The sequence below is a fragment of the Homo sapiens genome, chromosome 1 (assembly GCF_000001405.40).
Source record: "Homo sapiens chromosome 1, GRCh38.p14 Primary Assembly".
In the NCBI taxonomy this organism is placed as follows: domain Eukaryota; kingdom Metazoa; phylum Chordata; class Mammalia; order Primates; family Hominidae; genus Homo; species Homo sapiens.
The window spans coordinates 150,538,958-150,548,105 of NC_000001.11; the positions used below are offsets into that span (position 1 = coordinate 150,538,958).

General features: G+C 47.6%; 3 annotated features.

Moving 5' to 3' along the window:
* Positions 4,349-4,849: an enhancer, noted in NCBI's record as "H3K27ac hESC enhancer chr1:150515782-150516282 (GRCh37/hg19 assembly coordinates)". NCBI's record gives its function as "activates a minimal SCP1, AML or CMV promoter by ChIP-STARR-seq in naive H9 embryonic stem cells {active_cell/tissue: H9 hESC(naive)}" and the evidence as "EXISTENCE:reporter gene assay evidence [ECO:0000049][PMID:30033119]".
* Positions 4,850-5,350: an enhancer, noted in NCBI's record as "H3K27ac hESC enhancer chr1:150516283-150516783 (GRCh37/hg19 assembly coordinates)". NCBI's record gives its function as "activates a minimal SCP1, AML or CMV promoter by ChIP-STARR-seq in naive H9 embryonic stem cells {active_cell/tissue: H9 hESC(naive)}" and the evidence as "EXISTENCE:reporter gene assay evidence [ECO:0000049][PMID:30033119]".
* Positions 6,444-7,163: a transcriptional cis regulatory region, noted in NCBI's record as "candidate enhancer chr1.8461 targeted for multiplex CRISPR interference". NCBI's record gives its function as "positively regulates ADAMTSL4 gene expression with high confidence in K562 cells {active_cell/tissue: K562}" and the evidence as "EXISTENCE:mutant phenotype evidence [ECO:0000015][PMID:30612741]".

Below are 9,148 nucleotides of genomic sequence, written 5' to 3' on the forward strand. Positions count from 1 at the left end.
TCTGTGGTCTCACCCCTCTTCCCAGATCATTTGCCCTCACAACCACCTCACATTCTGTCCAGAACCCCCAAGCACAAGGAGCCTGCCAAGCTGGGAAGTCATCACAGAACTCAGTTCTACTGGCATATCTGCCACCAGAATTCGCAGTAAAGAGGACAGGTTCTGGTTGGGTGCATGGCTCATGCCTGTAATCCCAACACTTTGGGAGGCCAAGGTGAGAGGATCATTTGAGCCCAGTTCAAGACCAGCCTGCACAACATAGTAAGACTCCGTCTCTACAAAAATTTTTTTTAATTAGCCGGACGTGGTTGTGCACACCTTATAGTCCCAGCTACTCAGAAAGCTGAGGCAGAAGGATTGCATGAGCCCCAGAGTTTGAGGCTGCAGTGAGCTATGATCACACCACTGCACTCCAGCCTGGGCAACAGAGTGAGATCCTGTCTCAAAAAAAAAAAAAAAAATGAGAAAGAAGAAAGAAAGAAAGGGCCAGGCATGATGGCTCATGCCTGTAATCCCAACACTTTGGGAGGCTGAGGTGGGTGGATCACTTGAGGTCAGGAGTTCAAGACTAGCCTGACCAAAATGGTGAAACCCCGTCTCTACTAAAACTACAAAAATTAGCTGGATGTGGTGGCAGGCTCCTGTAATCCCAGCTACTACGAGGCAGGAGAATGGCTTGAACCTGGGAGGTGGAGGTTGCAGTGAGCTGAGACTGCACCACTGCACTCCAGCCTGGGCGACAGAGCAAGGCTCCATCAAGAAAGAAGGAAAGAAGAAAGAGAGAGAGAGAAAGAAAAGAAAAGAAAGAGAGGAAGGAAAGAAGGAAGGGAGGGAAGTGGAGGGAGGGAGAGAGAGAGAAAGAAAAGAAAGAAGGGAGGGAGGGAGGAAGGAAGGAAGGAAGGCAGGCAGGCAGGCAGGCAGGCACGAAGGCCCGGCACGGTGGCTCACTCCTGTAATCCTAGCAGTTTGGGAGGCCCAGGCAGGTGGATCACCTGAGATCAGGAGTTCGAGACCAGCCTGGCCAACATGGGGAAACCCCATCTCTACTAAAAATACAAAAAATTAGCTGGGCATGGTGGTGCACACCTGTAATCCGAGCGACTCAGGAGGCTGAGGCAGGAAAATCACTTGAACCCGGGAGGTGGAGCTTAAAGTGAGCCGAGATCGCGCCATTGCACTCCAGCCTGGGTGACACAGCGAGACTCCAAAAAAAAAAAAAAAAAAAGAAAAGAAAGAGGGAGAAGGGGGTGAAAGAGAGAGAGAGAAAGCAAGAAAGGGAAGAAGAGAGAGAGAGAGAGAGATAGAAGGAAGGAAGGAGAGAGAGAAAGAAAAAGAAAAGAGATAAGAGAGGGGCCAGGCGTGGTGGCTCATGCCTGTAATCCCAGCACTTTGGGAGGCTGAAATGGGCAGACCACCTGAGGTCAGGAGTTCGAGGCCAGCCTGACGAACATGGTGAAACCCTGTCTCTACTAAAAATACAAAAATTAGCTGGGCATGGTGGTGGGTGCCTGTCATTCCAGCTACTTGGGAGGCTGAGGCAGGAGAATCGCTTGAACCCAGGAGGTGGAGGTTGCAGTGAGCCCTGAGACCACACCATTGCACTCCAGCCTGGGTGACTGGAGCAAGACTCCATCTAAAAAAAAGAAGAAAAAAGAAGGCCAGGCGTGGTGGCTTATGACTGTAATCCCAGCATTTTGGGAGGCCAAGGTGAGTGGATCACGAGGTCAAGAGATCGAGACCATCCTGGCCAACATGGTGAAACCCTGTCTCTACTAAAAATACAAAAAAAATTAGCTAGGCATGGTGGCGTGTACCTGTAGTCCCAGCTACTCGGGAGGCTGAGGCAGGAAAATCGCTTGAACCCAGGAGGCGGAGGTTGCAGTGAGCTGAGATCATGCCACTGCACTCCAGCCTGACAACACAGCGAGACTCCATCTCAAAAAAAAAAAAAAAAAAAAAAAGCCAGGTGCAGTGGCTCACACCTGTAATCCCAGCACTTTGGGAGGCCGAGGCAGGTGGATCACAAAGTCAAGAGATCAAGATCAGCCTGACCAACATGGAGAAACCCTGTCTCTACGAAAAATACAAAATTAGCTGGACATAGTGGTGCAGGCCTGTAATCCCAACTACTCGGGAGGCTGAGGCAGGATAATCGCTTGAATCAGGGAGGCAGAGGTTGCAGTGAGCTGAGATCATGCCATCGCATTCCAGCCTGGGCAACAAGAGCAAAACTCCGTCTCAAAAAAAAAACAGAAAGAAAGAAAAGAAAGGGCCGGCACGGTGGCTCACGCCTATAATCCCAGCACTTTGGGGGCGGATCACCTGAGGTCAGGAGTTCGACACCAGCCTGGCTAACATGGTGAAACCCCGTCTCTACTAAAAATACAAAAATTAGCCGGGCATGGTGGTGGGTGCCTGTAATTCCAGCTACTTGGGAGGCTGAGGCAGGAGAATCGCTTGAACCCAGGAGGTGGAGGTTGCAGTGAGCCCTGAGATCACACCATTGCACTCCAGCCTGAGTGACTGGAGCAAGACTCCATCTAAAAAAAAGAAGAAAAAAGGCCAGGCGTGGTGGCTTATGACTGTAATCCCAGCATTTTGGGAGGCCAAGGCGAGTGGATCACGAGGTCAAGAGATCGAGACCATCCTGGCCAACGTGGTGAAACCCTGTCTCTACTAAAAATACAAAAAAAATTAGCTGGGCATGGTGGCGTGCACCTGTAGTCCCAGCTACTCGGGAGGCTGAGGCAGGAAAATCGCTTGAACCCAGGAGGCGGAGGTTGCAGTGAGCTGAGATCACGCCACTGCACTCCAGCCTGACAACACAGCGAGACTCCATCTCAAAAAAAAAAAAAAAAAAAGCCAGGTGCAGTGGCTCACACCTGTAATCCCAGCACTTTGGGAGGCCGAGGCAGGTGGATCACAAAGTCAAGAGATCAAGATCAGCCTGACCAACATGGAGAAACCCTGTCTCTACGAAAAATACAAAATTAGCTGGACGTAGTGGTGCAGGCCTGTAATCCCAACTACTCGGGAGGCTGAGGCAGGATAATCGCTTGAATCAGGGAGGCAGAGGTTGCAGTGAGCTGAGATCATGCCATCGCATTCCAGCCTGGGCAACAAGAGCAAAACTCCGTCTCAAAAAAAAAAAGCAGAAAGAAAGAAAAGAAAGGGCCGGCGCGGTGGCTCACGCCTATAATCCCAGCACTTTGGGGGCGGATCACCTGAGGTCAGGAGTTCGACACCAGCCTGGCTAACATGGTGAAACCCCGTTTCTACTAAAAATACAAAAAATTAGCCAGGCGTGTTGGTGCACGCCTGTAATCCCAGCTACTCAGGAGGCTGAGGGAGGAGAATCACTTGAACTTGGGAGGCAGAGGTTGTAGTGAGCCGAGATTGCGCCACTGCACCCAGCTTGGGCAACAAGAGTGAAACTCTGTCTCAAAAAAAAAAGGAAAAGAAAGAAAAAGGAGAGAAAGAAAGAAAGAAGAAAGAAAAAAAGAAAGAAAGAGAAAAGAGGGGAGGAGAGAAGAAAGAAAAGAAAGGTCCTGTACAGATGGCAGCATCATTTTTTCCCCCAATTCCTGACACAGAGGCTGAGCCATTATTGTCAACCTACTGTGAAAAGACATTATGTCCTCTCTGTCACTGGCAAATCCTGACCAGAGTCTTGTTGGACTCTGAGAGCATCCCCAGCAAAGAACTCTGAGCATCACAGAGGAGCAGCATGAAGTCTTCCTTTAATGCAGTCTTGATCTACCTAGAACATCAGCTACAAAATAATTTTGCACAGCATCATTAACAATAGTGCTGCCTTCGTTTTGTATATGACTCCACAGCTTTCATACATATTCCATCAGTTGTATTTGGGGTTTTATGAAAACCTGTGAAGTTGGCCAGGCACGGTGGCTCACGCCTGTAATCCCAGCACTTTGGGAGGCTGACGCGGGTGGATCACCTGAGGCCAGGAGTTCGAGACTAGCCTGGCCAACATGGTGAAACCCCGTCTCTACTAAAAATACAAAAATTAGCTGGTGGTGGCACATATTTGGGAGGCTGAGGCGGGAGAATTGCTTGAACCTGGGAGGCGAGGTTGCAGTGAGCCGAGATCCTGCCATTGCACTCCAACCTGGGCGACAGAGCGAGACTCCATCTCAAAAAAAAAAAAGAAAAAAATATAGGAGTATATCTTTTTTTGTTGTTTTTGTTTTTTGTTTTGAGATGGAGTCTCGCTCTGTTGCCCAGGCTGGAGTATAGTGGCGTGATCTCGGCTCACTGCAACCTCCGCCTCCCAGGTTCAAGCAATTCTCTTGCCTCAGCCTCCCGAGTAGCTGGGACTATAGATGCCCTCAACCATGCCCAGCTAATTTTTGTATTTTTAGTAGAGACGAGGTTTCACTATGTTGGCCAGGCTGGTCCTGAACTCCTGACCTCGTGATCCACCCGCCTTGGCCTCCCAAAGTGCTGGAATTACAGGCGTGAGCCACCGCGCCTGACCGAGTATATCTTTTTTAAAAAAGAAAATAAATAAAGAAATAAAGTCTACATAGCGGTGACTGGGAGACCAGAATATCCCATTCATGTCTTGGTCCTCATCGTACCAAATGGATCACATCCTGTTTCTTCATCATTTCATCAGGTGCAAGGCAGTTGGGCCGTGATGGGGCAGGACAACAACCAGAAAATGCTGGAATGTGGCCAGAGCTGAGGCAGTGCTCACCCCACACACATTCATTAAATGCCTACTGTGTGCAGAGTGAGGTGGTGAATACAAAGGTAAACACAGCAAGGTGGTCTCACCCTCCAGTCCCTGGAAGAGCACAGGTCACCACTGGCTGCTCTCATAGCAGCTGCCTAGTATGGGCGGCTGCGTCAAGCCAAAGCGGAATGGTCAGAAGAACAGCATCAGTGAGACAAAACAGTGGAGACAGCATGACAGGACACGGACTCAACGGCTGGAAGCCAGCCTGGCGCGCAGCAATTGGGAATGGGGTGTCTGTTTTGGAACAAAGGAGTTGAGCAACCATGATTCGGAGAGGCAGAAAAGCAAACACCAGGCTTTCCGAAAATGGTTGCTATGACCACAAACCTAAAGACAGACAGCTGCATGTTCATTTCTGGGCCCCAACTGTACATATTATTGGTATTAGCATCAGCATTATCTTGGAATAGGGACAACGTCTTATATGAGGCATTCATTCAAAATGTTATTTAATTTATAAAACTTCCTTATGCTACTGCCAGGGGAAAAAATTATTAAGTAAATTCAGCTAAATTTCTGGAAATTTTATTTGCATACAATGTATACAAATAACAGCGCCTAATTTAGAATCCTGGCTCTCTCACTTTCTAGCTGAGAGATTAGAGACAAATTAGTGGATTTGTCTTTGTGTCTTTGTTTGCAAATCTGTAAATGGTGTAACAGTCTCCACCTCACAGGGTTACAATGAGGACAGAGTGAGGTAATGTGTGTAAAGCTCTTCTAACAGCCCGGTCGGGGGCACAAAGTAAGTGCTATATACATGTTAGCTATATTATTATTATTAAATCAGTATGTTGAGCTCAAAGTCAGACCAATGTCAGCCTGTCCCCTCTTTTTTTCCTTATCTGTCCAATCTTTAGAGATAATTTTGGATGAACATCTACTTTTCTTTTTTCTGAGATGGAGTCTCGCCCTGTCACCCAGGCTGGAGTGCAATGACACGATCTCGGCTCACTGCAACCTCCGCCTCCCGGGTTCAAGCAATTCTCCTGCCTCAGCCTCCCGAGTAGCTGGGATTACAGACGCCTGCCACCACGCCTGGCTAATTTTTGTATTTTTAGTAGAGACGGGGTTTCACCATGTTGGCCAGACTGGTCTCAAACTTCTGACCTCAGCGATCTGCCCACTTCGGCCTCCCAAAGTGCTGGGATTACAGGCTGGATGAACATCTACTTATTACATAATCTTTTTAAAAACGTCTCTCTTTTTTTTTTTTTTTTTTTTTTGAGACGGAGTTTCACTCTTGTTGCCCAGGCTGGAGAGCAATGGTGCAATCTGAGCTCACCGCAACCTCCGCCTCCCAGATTCAAGTGATTCTCCTGCCTCAGCCTCCCAAGTAGCTGGGATTACAGACATGCGCCACCACGCCTGGCTACTTTTCTATTTTTAGTAGAGACAGGGTTGGTCAGGCTGGTGTTGGACTCCCAACCTCAGGTAATCCGCCCACCTCAGCCTCCCAAAGTGCTGGGATTACAGGTGTGAGCCACAGTGCCCGGCCTTAAAAACTTCTTTTTAAAAATTATTTATGTATTTGTTTATTTTTGAGACAGGGTCTTGCTATGTTGCCCAGGCTGGTGTCAAATTCCTGGGCTTAAGCAATCTACCCACCTCAGCCTCCCAAAGTGCTGGGATTACAGGTGTGAGACACCGCACCCAGCCTAAAAACTTTTTATCCTGGAGACAGTGTCCACAAACTTAATCTGGTATTTCACAAGTTGCTGAGGCATAGGAAACTCTTTTCTTTCTACAATATTTTCAGACCACCAAGCCATGAGAGGTGACAGCAGTAGCAAATCTCATGAGCTCTTCGGTGAGCAGCCATTTCTTAGTGGAAAGGACTGTATCTGACCTTCAGTTCTCAGCAGTTACAAATGTCAAAGGCAGACCTTTTCTCTCCTCCCAGGCTCCCCTCCCACACTCCTGTCCTGCAGCTTCCCTCCCTGTAGATAAGTGAATGCTGATGAGGTGTGACTGGGCCAGGACTGAAGGGTCCCTGGCCCAAAATATCTTCCTCTGCCCGGAAGGCTGGGCTTCTCATCATCTATATCATACTCTGAGGTCTGGGGAAAGGGGCTTCCCCTTCAAAGCTAGCACTATAAATATGTCTCCAGGTTGTCACCAGGAGTCCCTAGATAAACCACCCCTCTGGGAGGGGCATTAACCTTTTATCTTCTCAACCCATGTAGGAACTCAGGACTCAGATGGAGGATGAGGAGAGGCACCTCCCAGAGGCGCAGGTCAATCTGACCCGCTTCATGTTTCGTGGTGTACTTCGTGTTTTCAAGTTGTTGTTGTTGTTTCAGTGACTTATCAAAAAAACAAAACTCTAATATAAAATAGGAAAAAGTATAGATGATACAAAGTAGCATAAATAGTCCTTTATTCTGAAAGAACTTAGTGATTTACCGAGAAAAAATATGCATGTTAAATTTCAAATAATGATACAATTCTTTTTCTCCTTTCTTTTTTCTTCTTCTTTTTTTTTTTTTAGATATGGGGTCTTGCCATGTTGCCCAGGCTGGACTTGAACTCTTGGCCTCAAGTGATCCTCCCACTTCAGCCTCCCGAATCGCCAGGACTACAGGTGCCTGCAATTGTACCCAGCTCGGGACACAATTCTTACATTTTCTTTTCTTTTCTTTATTTTTTTGAGGCAGAGTCTCGCTCTGTCACCTAAGCTGGAGTGCAGTGGCATGATCTCAGCTCAATGCAACCTCCGCCTGCCAGGTTCAAGCAATTCTCCCTGTCTCAGCCTCCTGAGTAGCTGGGATTACAAACGCCCACCACCACACCCGGCTAATTTTTGTATTTTTAGTAGAGATGGGGTTTCGCCATGTTGGCTAGGCTGGTCTTGAACTCCTGACCTCAGATGATCCGCCCGCCTTGGCCTCCGAAGGTGCTGGGATTGCAGGCATGAGCCACCGCGCCCGGCCCAATTCCTACATTTTGAAAGCATTTTACGTTTTCATATCCATCATCTTCTTAGAGATAACATCTCCTTCAGCTGAGCCCAGTATTAACCTTCGCATGACCCCATTACCTGCCGTGTCTGTGCCTGATCAGACCCAACTCCTTGAGGCCAGAGACTTCTTGCTGCTTCTTCAACACCAAGTGCAAAAGGCGCCCAAAAAATGACAGGTGGGGAACCAAAGACCTCTGATATTTTGTGAGGATGCAGGACAATGTTGTTAGAGCTTCTATTTTTGTGTTTTAGTTTTTCAAGAGAAATTTTAAAATATCCAGGTTTTAAAATACGTATTGACAAGTTATTTAAAAAAAAAAAATGTGCCTTTAGGTTGGGCCCAGTGGCTCACACATGTAATCCCGGCATTTTAGGAGCCCAAGGAAGGAGGATTTCTTGAGCCCAGGAGTTTGAAACTAGCCTGTCTTAAAAACAAAAAACAAACAAACAAAAACCTTTAAAACACTGAGTAGACCCAACAAAATACAACGCGTCAGTAAATAGAAAGTAAAAATATAGGCCGGGAGCAGTGGCTCATGTCTGTAATCCCAGCACTTTGGGAGGCTGAGGCGGACGGATCATGAGGTCAGGAGTTCGAGACCAGCCTGGCCAACATGGTGAAACCCCATCTCTACTAAAGATACAAAAAATTAGCCAGGCGTGGTGGCTCGTGCCTGCAATCCCACCTACTCAGGAGGCTGAGGCAGGAGAATGGCTTGAACCCAGGAGGCAGAGGTTGCAGTGAGCTGAGATGGCGCCATTGCACTCCAGCCTGGGTGACAGGACAAGACTCCTTCTCAAAAAAAAAAAAGTAAAATATAAAAATAGCAGTGACCATTTATTGTCTACTCTATGCCAGCCATTTTACATATTTTATTTATTTATGTGTTTATTTTTTGAGACGAGGTCTCTCTCTGTCGCAGGGGCTGGAGTGCAGTGGCACGATCATAGTTCACTGCAGCCTCAAACTCCTGGGCTCAAGCAATCCTCCCCGCTCAGCCTCCTGAGTAGCTAGGACTACAGGCTTTCACCACCATGCCCAGCTTACATATATTATTTATAATAAATAATAGCCAGGCGCGGTGGCTCACGCCTATAATCCCAGAACTTTGGGAGGCCGAGGCAGGAGGATCACTTGAGGTCGGGAGTTGGAGGCTAGCCTGACTAACATGGAGAAATCCCGTCTCTACTAAAAAATATAAAATAAGCCAGGCATGGTGGCGCATGCCTCTAATCCCAGCTACTTGGGAGGCTGAGGCAGGAGAATCACTTGAACCTGGGAGGCGGAGGTTGCAGTGAGCCGAGATCGCGCCACTGCACTCCAGCCTGGGCAACAAGAGTGAAACTCCATCTCAAAAAAAAAAAGAAAAAAAAAAGATAAAACTAATAGATGGATTGCTCTTGTGGTTAAAAAAATTCACAAA